Genomic DNA, 13,952 nt, shown 5'->3' with positions numbered 1-13,952 from the left:
AGGAAGGGAAAAGACAGGAGTGGCTGTCTTTTATGGAAAACTTTTGGAAGCTGCCATGGGATACTGCCACTTACATCTCATTAGTCAGAACTTGGTCATACGACCATATGTTACTTCAAAGGTGACTAAGAAAAGTAATTTTTATTCTCGGGGTGCATATGCTCAAATAAAAAGTGGGGGTTCAATGAAGATGGAAGAAAGGAGAATGGTTTTGGATGGCAACTAGCAATCTCTGATGAACACAGTAGTTTAGTTTAGGTATATTTTATGTATGTCCATGTACTTAAAAAAAAAAACAACACTTACTGAGACCAGTCTGGGCAACATAGTGAAATCCCATCTCTACAGAAAATACAAAAATTAGAGGCCAGGCACGGTGGCTCATGCCTATAATCCCAGCACTTTGGGAGGCCAAAGCGGGCGGATCACCTGAGGTCAGGAGTTTGAGACTAGCCTGGCCAACATGGCGAAACCCTGTCTCTACTAAAAATACAAAAAAATTAGCCAGGCATGGTGGCAGGCGCCTATAAACCCAGCTACTTAGGAGGCTGAGGCAGGAGAATTGCTTATACCCAGGAGGCGGAGGTTGCAGTGAGCTGAGATTGCGCCATTGCACTCCAGCCTGGGCAAGAAGAGCGAAACTCCGTCTCAAAAACAAAAAAAAGAAAAAGAAAAAAAGAAAAGAAAAAAATTAGCCAGGTGTGGTGGAATGTGCCTGTAGTTCCAGCTACTCAGGAGGTTAAGAAGTGGGAGTATCACTTGAGCCCAGGAGGTCAAGCCTGCAGTAAGCTGTGATGGTGCCACTGCACTCCAGCCGGGGCAACAGAGCAAGACCCTGTCTCAAAAAGCAAACTTATTGAGCACCTACTATGTCAAGCACTGGCAAGGTGGGTCCTAGAGGTTCCCTCCTGGGCAGTCTTTCATTCAGTCTCTCATGAATGATTGAGGCCACATTTCCCATCTGATTTGCTTTTGCAGACAGATTTATTTGTTTATTCTTTTTTGGAAGGTCATGCTAATCTTCTCTGTATAGTTCCAATTTTAGTATACGTGCTGCCGAAGTGAGCACTCCAAGACAGATTTCTTTAAAAAAATTTTCCACTAGCACAATGTTGCCTGATGCTGAACTCTGAGGGTAAATCATTCCGTTTTACTTGCCTGATACTTTGATTTTTGCTGGGGAGTCACCCTTATCCTATAATTACCCCTAGGCCTTGAGTGAAAATAATTGACAAATATTAAATTTCAGCTGGATGCAGTGGCTCATGCCTGTAATCTCAGCACTTTGGGAGGCCAAAGGGAGTGGATCACTTGAGCCCAGGAGTTCAAGACCAGACTGGGCAACATGGCGAAAGCCTATCTCTGCAAAAAATACAATAATTATCTGGGTGTGGTGCTGCCTGCCTGTGGTCCCAGCTACTCGGGAAACCGAGTGGGTACGATCACCTGAGCCCGGAGGTTGAGGCTGCTGTGAGTTGTGATTACACCCCTGAACTCCAGTCTGGGTGAGAGTGAGACCCTGTCTCAAAAATAAAAAATAAAAATAAAAAAAATAAAAAATAAAAAATTTTATGTATATATATATATATATATATATATATATATATATATATAAAAAATCTCTCTGACCCAGAATCACACAACGTTAAAGCTGGAAAGGCCTACGAGAGCCTTCAGCCCCGACTCCCCATTCACACGCTGAGATGGGCAGTGGCTCCCTGGGGGTCCCCTTGCTGGTGCTGGGGGTGTATGGCCCCATGAAAACCCCTCTGCTTCCTGACACCAGGGGAAGGGTCAGCATTCAGGCCGAGGCCAGCAGGCCTCAGTCACGAGGCACCAGGCTGCGCTCAGGGAAGTTGTAACTGACGCTTGATTCTCTCTTAATCCCCCGGTGACCTGTCCCAGTTCTGCAGGTACACATTTCTGAGCCCTGCTTGAGGCAAAACTCTGCTTTGAACTTGTATCCTTTTGCTCTCTGAGCATCTCCTCCTCCTCCCTCCAGCCGCCCACTCCACTGTCTGCCCCATCGTACTTGCCAACCTGTCATTGTACCCATCCCTGGGGGTGGGGAGGAATTCCACGCCCTCTGGCCAGGTCAAGGTGCCCTGAATAGCTGGATTGCATGTAGTTTGTTGCCCTAATAGTAAACAATCCAAAGTGATTAATAGTAATAATAAACCATCTGCTAATGATTGAGCCTGTGTCTGATGGGTTAAGGTGGTCCCTCTATTAATGCCATTCTGACTCGCATTCTAGTAACCTTTTCTGGGTGGGCCAGAAGGGCTGGAGTTAGCCTGGCACTGGCACCCTTGGGCAGGCTGTCACAGAGGGGCACTCCAGCCTGGGTGACAGAGTGAGACCCTCTTCTAAAAAAATTTTTAAAAAACAAATGTATGACCTGTTCTTAGAAAAACAACAGTTTTATAGTTACCCATGCTCCCAGTTAAAATATAACTCTATATTTAAAGTTAGAGTTAAAATATAACTCTAATGTAATCCAATTAAAAATACCAATATTAATTCCTTTTTGGAAAAAAAACCACTCTGGTTTGAACCATCCTTTAATGCATGGGGCAGGGAGGGACCTGATAAATGTCGGGAGAGAGATGGTGTCTATTTTGATCCAGAATGTGGTGGCGAAAGTGCTGCCTGATATGCTAGAAGCTCTTTTCCCCCACCTGCTGCTTAATGTGTGTGTCAGCCCAGTGAGAGTGGTGTTTCCTGATGACTGGGCCTCAGGCCGCCTCATTGGAGTCCCCTGCGGGGGATGGGAACATGCAGATTCCCGGGCTCCCACCCAGTCAGCAGCTAGGGCAGGACACCTGGACCTTGCAGATTATCCAAGTCCCGGATGACTCTCAAGTGGATGAATGTTGGTGAATGTTGGCTCCAGGGAACAGAAGTGTCCGTCCCATCCCCGGCAGAGCCTAGGTTGCTAAGGTTGGTGGGCTTGTGCTGCTGCTGCAGCCCCAGGTCTTGGCCTCCTGACTCCTGGAATTGGGAGATGTGCTTCCTAGGATGGCTCTGACAATTAGCACTTCAGATCTTGGGATAAGGAAGGCCTACAGGGAATGCTGCCTAAAGGAAAAAACAACTCAGAAGGGCCTGATGCAGGGACGAGATGGGGAGGGCCCTTCATGAACATCCCTTGCACCTCCAGCATTCGGCAAAGAGAAGTCACTCATGCAGGATGCGGGCGGCAAGGCGGCGGCCCCTGCAGAGCTAGCAGGCAGGACCCTGGATGCTAACCCAGGATGCAGCATTGATGTCCTCTGAGGTGGCGGGTGGCAAAGTCTCCCAACAGATCCACCTTCAACACTGCAAAGAAATGCGTTTTAGCACGGCAGGCTCTGCTCCTGCCTAGCCCCTGGTAGGGCATTGTCTTGTGACGCCCCTACGGTGCACACACACTCTATCCTGTGCTTGTAAAACGTGGATGACATGTCATATACCGATCTAATCACAGGTCCCCCAGAGAATTATCGAGCAGATGGTGTGGTTCCCTTGACATTCACACCTGGTGGCTGCTGAAACCCTAGAAAGAGAGTGCAATTAGCAAACAAATCACCTTGGCTTCATATAGTCATTTCTCTTGCCAAGTGAGAAATTTCACCCTTCAAGAAAGATTTTTCTTCCATGAAGGTTGTGTTTTTCTGCCTGCTCAGTGTGAGACTTTACAGATGGTTCCTACTTTAATTTTAAAGTAGATGATAGTAACAACCCTAATATGACCACTGCCGCCAACAGCCACTAAGATGCCCTGCATGGGTAGAAGGACTCACACTTTGCAAAGCACTCTTCTGTAACGCAAAATCTATAGAGACAGGGAACAACCCGTTCTGCTCCCTCCCCTCTTTCCTTCTGCAAATTTGCATTGCATGCCTACTATGTGAAGTGGGCTTTGCAGAGAGAAGAAATCCAGCTCCCAGTACCAAGCCAGCCACAGCATGTTGGCAGGACAGAAGCAAACAAACAGCACACGCCATTCTGATGAGGGCAAGGAGAGAGGAGCATGTGGACAGAGGGAGACTTCCGGAAAGGGGCACCGCCTCGAGAGAGCCCTGGGCATGGAGCAGTAGCTTCACAGGGAAACATACTGAGGATAGAAGGTTTCTCACCCAGATATCTGTGGATGAGCAACACAGCATTGCTGGAGCTTAGGCTAAGCGTGGGCTGGAGGAGATGAGGATAGAAAGGCAGGCAGAGGCCAGAGCAGGAAAGGCTTTTTGTATCCTGCCAAGGGATTTGGCTTTCCCTCTGCAGGAGCTGCCTAAGACCTTAAGCAATGGGGCATTTAGTAAGGTTGCTGAGAAAGATGTTGGAGGAGGCATGTGCAGGCCTCATGCACAGGTGACAGCCAGAAAGAAAGACCTGGCAGATGAATCAGTTCTGCGCTTGATCTAGTAGAGGGAAGTTTGCAGACTTAAGCATCCATTATGGATCAGTTTGCCCACTACCCTTCAGGCTGCGTTTCAAGAAAGATATCAGTGTGCTGGATAGATTTGCTCAATGAAGACATCCCTCATGTCTGAGACAGAGGCAGCGGGACTGACAGAACCAGCCACCAAATTCATCTTCAAACAATCAATGGGGAAAACACTTGCCACAATTTGAGAGACAGTTAACATATTCCTACCTGAAGAAAACATAAAATTAACCTTAAAAAGACTCAAATAGAAAAGCAAGCAAAGGACATAGGTAAACAAATAAGAGCTTAAGGTAAATAATATATAGAAGCACTGGGAACATAAAATAAGAAATCTCTAAATCAATACACATAAAGAATATTTAACACTAGGAGTGACCAAGGTAGGGATCATCTAAGCAGCTTAGTCAGCCCTTTCACAAATCAGATTGGCAGACTAAGAACCAAACACACACAGACCTCTGAGATGTGCTAGGGAACTGCAGTGAGATGGGCCCTCCCCCACACTGCTGGAGGTATGGAAATTGGAAACGTTTCTAGAAAGCAATTTGGAAAATGAAAACCAAAAGCCATAAAAATGTCTTATTCTGTGATCTTACTTTCAGAAATCTATCTGAAGGGAATAATAAATGAGGCAGCAGAGATGTGAATACGAAGACAATGAGTGTCGTGCTGTTTATGCTAATCCTGAACTGAGTCGGAAGCGATGGGTCATGTAACGATACAGCCTAGCATGATGGGTCTGTGAGGTACTGCTTGTGCTCTATGATGTACTGCTGTGTGGCCACTGGAGGCATATACTCATAGGTTTTGAAGTGACATGGGAAAATGACTGTGATGCCAGATTCTATGAAAAAGCAGCATATTACATCATAAAATCAGCATGCTCCCAATTTTATTTTTTAAAATGTGTATAAGCTAGGTGCAGTAGCTCATGCCTGTAATCCCAGCACTTTAGGAGGCTGAGACCAGAGGATCTCTTGAGCCCAAGACTTTCAGACCAGCCTGGGCAACATAGCAAGACCCCATCTCTACAAAAATCAAAAATTAAAAAATTAGCCAGGTGTGGTGGTACAGGCCTGTAATCCTAGCTAGAGGCTGAGGCAGGAGGATCACTTGAGCCCAAGATTTCGAGGCTGCAGTGAGCTATGATGGCACCACTGCACTCCAGCCTGGGGGATAGAGCAAGGCCCCCATGTCTCTTAAAATACATAAATTAAAATTTAAAAATAAAAAATAGGTTGGGCACGGTGGCTCATGCCTGTAATCCCAGCACTTTGGGAGGCCAAGGCGGGCGGATCACCTGAGGTCAGGAGTTCAAAATCAGCCTGGCCAACATAGTGAAACTCTGTCTGTAATAAAAATACAAAAATTAGTCAAGTGTGGTGGCCGGCACCTATAATCCCAGTTACTCAGGAGGCTGAGGCAGGAGAATCGCTTGAACCCAGGAGGCAGAGGTTGCAGTGAGCCGAGATCTTGCCGCTGCACTCCAGCCTGGGTGACAATGAGACTCTGTCTCAAAAATAAATAAATAAATAGATTAAATAAATAAATAACAATAAAAATAAATTAAAAATGTGTATGAAATAAACTTAAATAAATACTAGAAGCACATGTCTCCACATGGGGAGGTTATGAGTGTTTTCTTTTAAAGGAATGTTTCTATTTCTCTATATTTTGCCAGTTTTCTCTTTCTTTTTTTTTTGAGACGGAGTTTCGCTCTTGTTGCCCAGACTGGAGTGCAAAGGTGCGATCTCAGCTCACCGCAAACTCTGCTTCCCGGGTTCAAGCCATTCTCTTGCCTCAGCCTCTTAAGTAGCTGCGATTACAGGCATGTGCCACCACGCCCAGCTAATTTTGTATTTTTAGTAGAGATGGGGTTTCTCCATGTTGGTCAGGCTGGTCTCAAACTTCCGACCTCAGGTGATCCACCCTCCTTGGCCTACCAAAGTGCTGGGATTACAGTCATGAGCCACCACGCCCAGCCTTTGCCAGTTTTCTACAATAAATATGACCTTTCTAATAATTATTTTTAAACACTTAGCCTAAAATGCATGTTTACCACACTCAAGTGGCCCTGGCAAGTCCCTGAAGGCGCAGCGAGTTGGTGCCGCCTTCGGCTGCGGTTGGGCCAGATGGAGTGTCGTGGGCTCTTTGGTTGGCCAGGCGGGCAGAGGGTTCTGTTCGGGCTGCCTCATCTGCCCCTGCAGAGGGCCTGTGCAGAGGTGGCCACTCAGTGCTCCCCCATGGGTGAGGGAGAGACTTCCCTTCTCCCTGCAGGGGAGGCGGGAGCTTGGGCACAATTATACAGCAGGGGGCAGGTTCTCTGGGCCCTCTTGTTTCCTTTTCTGTACCCGTCCCTTACTCCCTGCACCCTCTCCTACCCTACAGGCTGGCTTCCAGGGCCTTCATGATGCCACCTGGCTGATAAGCACTCTCCCAAGTGGTAACGCATTTGCCCCAGTGAGCCGGTCTTAATTTCCAATCACAGAGAAAAGGGAGCGGATTATTCTCATTCTGGATAAGACATAAGTGATAAATTGACCGACTTTACTAAGCCAGGGATTCCTTGTATTTTAGGGTTTTTCCCAAAAAACACAAAAGGTCATTGTCTTAGTCTGTGTAGGTGACTATAACAAAATACCACAGACTAGGTTGTTTATAAACAACAGAAGTTTATTGTTGACAGTTCTGGAAGCTGGGAAGTCCAAGATCAAGGTACCAGCAGATTTGGTGTCTGGTGAGCGCTTCTCTGCTTTATAGATGGCACCTCCTTGTTGAGTTCCCACACAGCAGAAGGGGTGGACAAGCTCCCTCGGGCCTTCTTCATAAGGGCGCTGATCCCATTTATGAGGGCAGAGCCTACTTCCCAAAAATCCCAGCTCTCAATCCACCACACTGGGGATTTGATTTCATCATATGAATTTTGCGGGGACACAAACGTTCAGACGAGAAAATCATCTTTATGGAAGCATTTTAGGCCATGGGACGGGCCAATGAGAGCTATTTTGGAGCTTGGGCTGTGGGACACTAGCTCATCACTCACCGCAGAGGCCTGGAGGGAGGCTCCTCTTTATCTTTCTGCCCTGCAGCAGAGGCAGGGGAGGCTGATGTCAAGAGTGGACTCTTTACCTCTTGGAAGAGGTTAGGGAGCAGTTCTGAAAGCCTGACCCAGTACTATAGTTTGAATATTTGACCCTCCAAATTTCATGTTGAAATTTGATTTCCAGTGTTTGAGATGGGCCTGGCGGGAGGTGTTTGGGTGATGGGGGCGGATCCCTCTGGAGTGGCTTGCTGCCGTTCTCACAGTAGTGAGTAAGTCCTCGCTCTCAGTGAAAGAGCCTGGCACCTCCTCTTTCTCTCTCTCTCCCCTTTTTTTTTGTTTGAGACAGAGTCTCGCTCTGTCACATAGGCTGGAGTGCTGTGGCACAATCTCAGCTTACTGCAACCTCCGCCTTCCAGGTTCAAGCGATTCTCCTCCCAAGTAGCTGGGATTACAGGGGTGTGCCACCACGCCCAACCAATTTTTGTATTTTTAGTAGAGACAGCGTTTCACCATGTTGGTCAGGCTGGTCTCGAATTCCTGATCTCAAGTGATCCATCTGCCTCAGCCTCCCAAAGTGCTGAGATTACAGGCGTGAGGCACCGTGCCCGGCCTTTCTCTATCTTTTCCTTTCTCTCTTGACGTGTGATCTCTGCACAAGCTGGCTCTCCTTCCTCTTCCACCATGATTGGAGGCTCCCTGAAGCCCTCACCAGAAGCAGATGCTGGCGCCATGCTTCTTGCACAGCTTGCAGAGCCATGAGCCAAATAAGCCTCTTTTCTTTATAAACTACCCAGCATCAGGCACTCCTTTACAGCAGCAGCACAAACAGACTAAGACACCCAGTGACCCTGGGATGCTGTTGGGACTAGCCCTGGACCGCCCCGAGAAGTTGACTCTTGTAGGGTGCCATTGGCTTTACATCAACATTCACGAGGCATCTGCCCAGTGCCAGCATTGTCGCAGGCATTGGTAGTACCCATGGGCAGGTGTCTTATCTGTTTTGCTCACTGCCTGGAAGAATGTCTGCAGATTGAACATGCAGTTAGAGACATATCCAGCTTCCATAGGCTCACAGCACAGACAATTTTAGAGGGCTGCTTCTTCTTCTTTTTTGTTTTTTGATAAGCAGTCTTGCTCTGTCACCCAGGTTGGAGTGCAATGGCACAATCTCGGCTCACTGCAACCTCTGCCTCCTGGGTTCAAGCGATTCTCCTGCCTCAGCCTCCTGAGTAGCTGGGATTACAGGCATGTGCCACCACGCCTGGCCAATTTTTGTATTTTTCTGGAGATGGGATTTCACCATGTTGGCCAGGTTGGTCTTGAACTCATGACCTCAGGTGATCTGCCCACCTTGGCCCTCCCAAAGTGTTGGGATTACAGGAGTAAGCCACCGCACCTGGCCTGGAGGATTTCTTTAAGAAAAGGAGACTGGGTGCGGTGGCTCATGCCTGTAATCCCAGCACTTTGGGAGGCCGAGGTGGGCGGATCACAAGGTCAGGAGTTCGAGACCAGCGTGGCCAATACGATGAAACCCCGTCTCTACTAAACAATACAAAAATTAGCCGGGCATGGTGGTGTGTGCCTGTAATCCCAGCTACTTGGGAGGCTGGGGCAGGATAATTGCTTGAACCTGGGAGGTGGAGGTTGCAGTGAGCAGAGACTGGGCCACTGCACTGCAGCTTGGGCGAAGGAGCAAGACTCCGTCTCAAAAAAAAAAAAAAAAAAAAAAGAAAAAGAAAAAGAAAAAGGAACACCAAAAAAAAAAAAGGTTCAAAATAATTTATTTGGAGTGAAAAATCATAACAATTGCAGGTTTTAAAAAGCCTTGCAAGTCATGTTATCCTAAGATGTAGGACAATCACATATCTTTTTGTGAATTAGCTCACTTGCCTGTCTCCGAAGTGCTTGTCTGCAGACTAGCTTCTGGCACCATTGATTTCCACTCTGTTGTGCCACCTTTGCTCACATGCCCAGTGCTGGGCTCAGTAGGGGACATTCAGGCCATGGCACACCCCCTGTGCTGCACCGTGGCCTCCGGGCGCCCAACGAGTCAGCACAGTGGGCAGGAGGAGGCGTGGGAGCTGTCCCCAAGATGGCTACGTGTGGAAGTATCTATCACTTCCTGCTCATCATCAAACAGCCCGCCAAATCCAAGTTAAAGGATCTCCATCCCAACATCCCTCTAGCTAGATCCTGAATCCCCTGTGGCTACCCCTGTCCCATGTAGAGGGAAGTGTAACTAAGGGAAAGTGGTAGGGAAGATATCTTACTTTTGCAAACTTCACCAAAACCTGACTTTTTCCATAAGCATTGAAAAGTTCCTCCCAGAGTCTCGATAGGGACCTGTGCAAATGAGTGTCCCTAAAACTGAAGCTTAATTAGCTTTACTGTGCAGCTACATTGGTGAATAATTGCTGCAAATATTTGTTGAATTGAGTAAAAGACATGGGCCCAGGCTTTGAAAAGCTCACACCATAGTGCAGAGACCCAAACTTGCAGAACCCAGGACATCTTGTCCCAAGCTAGGTTCCTGAGTCTACCTGAGCATGGCCTGTGCAGCAGACCGCAGAGCCAGAGAAGGCCTGGATTTGGCCTGACCACTTAGAGAGTCAAACACTATTCACTCTTCTAGAGCCTTCTTTCATAGTGTCTCTTCACACTCAGATATCAGGGCCCAAAGGCTTGAAGCTGGGGGCTGCTGTGGAGAATAACAGGACCACTTTTCCTAGTTTCCCAAACAGTGTGGCAGTTTTAAGGAGCAGACCACAGAGGGGGCCAGCAGGTTTGTTCAGAGGACTTGGTAAAGTCTGAGGTCCCAGATTCCTGAGCCTGGATTAAAACAGGGCCAGCTCTTTTTCTTTTTTTTTATTTTTTTGAGTCAGGGTCTTGGCTGGACACAGTGGCTCACACCTGTAATCCTAGCACTTTAGGAGGCCAAGGCAGGTGGACCACTTGAGCTCCAGAGTTCGAGATCAGCCTGGGCAACATGGAGAAACCCCATCTCTACAAAAACAAAAACAAAACAAAACAAAAAAGAGTCAGGGTCTTGCTGTGTTGCCCAGGCAAGACTCGAACTCCTGACCTCAGGCAATCCTCCAGGCTCAGCCTCCTGAGTAGCTGAAACTACCAGCTCATGCCCACCACGCCCGGCTCACAGTCCAACTCTTAGGGTTGGAGTTGAGGGTGAGGGGCAGACACAGGGAAGGTATTTTCATGGATTCCTGAGGTGAGTTTGGAAACCAAGATCCTTACATAGGTAGGTGATAATCATGATTTAAAGTGTAGCTGGGGCAGAGCGGGAGGAAGTGGATGGGGTCGGGGTCAGCCTGAGAGACCAAGCCGGCTCACACATGCAGCTGGGATCCCCGTGGACACCAGGTGGTGGATCCCTGTCTCTCTGGCAGGAGGTTCTGCTGTGTATTATCCAGTTGTCCCACTGTAGGCAGGAGAGAATTTCCAGCCTCTTCTTTAGAAATCAACACTCTTCCTCCCAAGAGGGAGGTGACTCCTTGGTTTTGTACTGTTCTGTGGGGACCTGAAGCCCAGACTGTGTCAGTATACTTACTACTCTTCCTGTAAGCCTGGGCTTACCCCAACCCCACCCCACAGCACTCCTCAGACAGGGAGAGGGACAAGGGATCACAGAACCCTGGGTGGCCTCATCCTTCCTGGGGGCTTCTATCAGGCTCCCCACCTTGCTCTGACCCAGCTGCACCCTCACTTCTTGTGGACCTGCAGGTGGGCAGCACAAACTGAACCCTGGCTCCGCTACCCTCTTGCTGCTGAGCCTTGGCCCTCAAGCCCTGAGCTCTGGTGTGCATGCTCCCTGGGCAGAGAACACTGCTCAGTGGCCTAGGAATACAATGCGTCTGGGATGTGGTAAGCAGTTAAGTATTGATAAGGGCATCAGTGTGGTGGTGTCCTGCAGGAGAAAATCAATCCTTAGAGCAGCATTGCCCTGAGCTCACACTCCTGATCATGCAGAGTGCTAAGTAGATGGGTCAGCATCTTGGATGCCTTAGCTCTGCAATTTGGTTGTGTAAAGGAAAAAAGAAGATCTCAGGACCTCCCAAACTTAGGCAAAAGTGAAGATTAAGCCCTGAGGCCAAGTCATTGCAACATCCTCTTCCAAATGAACAGCAGTTACTGACATTAGGCATCAGTCCCCATGGAAAGGTAAAGGGAAGGCCTTAGGCATCTGTGAAGGACCAGAAGGGCTCCACCTCTACAGATCATTCATAAAGGAGTTATTTCCTGGCCTCCCATAAAAGAGGACATGCCAGTTGTAACTTGAGGCCTACAAGCCAAGTCTAGCTCCTAAAATGAGTCTGTTCCTTCCATACTGAGAATGTGGATTACATGCTTAACTTCCCAGGTGCAGAACAAAGTCAAGAGTCCTTCCTCCACCTTCCCTTCCTCCACCTTCCATGCACAATTGACTCTTCCTTTACTCTCTTTTTTCTCTTATGTAAAAATGTAGATTTACTAGGCACTAACTAAAGTCTCACAAGAATATATTAAGTTGGGGCAAACTAATTGTGGTTTTTGCCATTACGTGTAATTTTGCACCAACCTAACTATAAAACTATTCCCACTTGTCTGCCCCTCTTCCTACACGCCTGCCCCTACCCTCCTTTAAGTAAATGTATAAATACAAAACTTCCTGAAAGCCTCTTTGGAAAAACAGCCACAGATGTGTCTGTGGCTTGTGTTTTTCCAGATGTTCCCTAAAGTGGCTGAATAAACCTACGCCTCAGTCCCTCATTTCGGTTGTCAGGTGACATGTGTTGTGTTTCAAACCACAGCCCTTGGTGTTCTACAAGCTGTGGATGGACACCGTCTGCCCGGGTTTAGGTGGAATACCACCAGGTAAGGATGTTTGCTCTCTGAATCACTTCTGCCGGGCACTCTCCAAGTAGATTCCATTCCTATTTCTCAGGACAAGCTGGATCTAGTCCTCCGTCAGTAGTTGTGAGAAGATGCTGTTGAGTTCTCCACTGAGGTGTTGTGAGAGGACTGGGCTGAATGTAATGGCAAATCAGAAAGCTTAGAAAGGGGCCAGACACAGTGGCTCATGCCTGTAATCCCAGCACTTTGGGAGGTCAAGGTGGGTGGATCACTTGAGGTCAGGTGTTCGAGACCAGCCTGGCCAACATGGCAAAACCCCATCTTTACTAAAAAAAAAAAAAAATACAAAAATTAGCCAGGTGTGGTGGCACATACCTGTACTTCCGGCTACTTGGGAGGCTGAGGCAGGAGACTCGCTTGAACCCAGGAGGTGGAGGTTGCAGTGAGCCCAGATCGCACCACTGCACTCCAGCCTGGGTGACAGAATGAGACTCCGTATCCAAAAAAAGAAAAGAAAAAGAAAAAAGAAAGAAAGCTTAGAAAGGGTTTCCAGCTTCTCAAACAAATTAGGTCATCAGTGTCTTTAGGAACTAAGTCATATATTAATATTCTATTTTGCATCTCAATTCTTTACATCTCCCCCTCAAACTTAGTTCCCCAACCTCTAAGGAATTTTTCCATCACATGCTGAATAATCCGTTGTTGTCATAAAACCCCAAATCCGAATCCCAAAGGAAATTAATCTGAAAATCCTTGATTCTGTAAAGGGCTTGGTTTGCTACTTTCATTTCATGCAAACTGCCTGCCGAAAAAGAACTGTAAAATTTCTCTCCTTTCTTATCCAGTGAGTGCCCTTTTTTGTGTGTGTGCAGGAAGGCTCCTAAGCCACTGCAGAGAAGTGGGGAGCTATTTATAAATGCGGCACACGATGATGCTGGGCTCGGCAAGTGCATCACCCAGAACTGGATGTTTAGGGGGAGGACATGGTATCATTTACCCTCTAATCTGCCCTGGCCTGCTGCCCAGGGAATGCCATCTGAGCCCTTGAGGGAGCCCCATGGGGAAGTTCAGTCCCTGAGGACCCCAGCTGGTTGGTTTGAAAATGTCTGCAGCTGTAACTTGCACCGGGCGTGGAGAACTCACTGGCACTCAATATTCTGTGTCAATTCATACCCCCAGAGAAGTTTTCATGAGTTACGATGGAGACCGGAGTTTCCCACAGCCCCAGCATCCTGAGCTGTCCTCTGAGGTAACAGCAGAGTGCAGGGCAGAGTGAGATATTTTAACCAAGCTGCAGACTCCAAGCCCAGATGATCTAGAACTGGGCTTTCCGATGGTGCTCCGTGCTCCTGGATATAATTTGAAACTTTTTTTTTAATGATTTTTAATGCATCACAGGGAATGGTAGAAGTACCAAAAAGATTAGAATCGTGTAGGCATCTCTTTATTTTTTTGAAAAGGAAAATAGAGTAGATCATAAGAAACTGTCGGGTTGCTTGACATAGCTTCCTGAAAACTCCTGGGGTTGATTGCTGAGCATATGATTTATGAACATTAGGAAGAAATACAGAGATTGCCAGGAATCTGTGCTAGTTCAGAAGAGCAGGTCATGCCAAACTCACACTGTTCCTT

General features: G+C 47.6%; 1 pseudogene, besides 1 other annotated feature; it reads right to left on the bottom strand.

Annotated features, from left to right (window-relative positions):
* RNU6-180P (RNA, U6 small nuclear 180, pseudogene) lies at positions 1,009-1,069 on the bottom strand (annotated as a pseudogene).
* Positions 2,449-3,056: an enhancer, noted in NCBI's record as "NANOG-H3K4me1 hESC enhancer chr1:229516888-229517495 (GRCh37/hg19 assembly coordinates)". NCBI's record gives its function as "activates a minimal SCP1, AML or CMV promoter by ChIP-STARR-seq in naive H9 embryonic stem cells {active_cell/tissue: H9 hESC(naive)}" and the evidence as "EXISTENCE:reporter gene assay evidence [ECO:0000049][PMID:30033119]".

Source organism: Homo sapiens, chromosome 1 (assembly GCF_000001405.40).
Source record: "Homo sapiens chromosome 1, GRCh38.p14 Primary Assembly".
NCBI classification, from domain to species: domain Eukaryota; kingdom Metazoa; phylum Chordata; class Mammalia; order Primates; family Hominidae; genus Homo; species Homo sapiens.
This window is presented reverse-complemented; position numbering and strand designations above follow the sequence as displayed.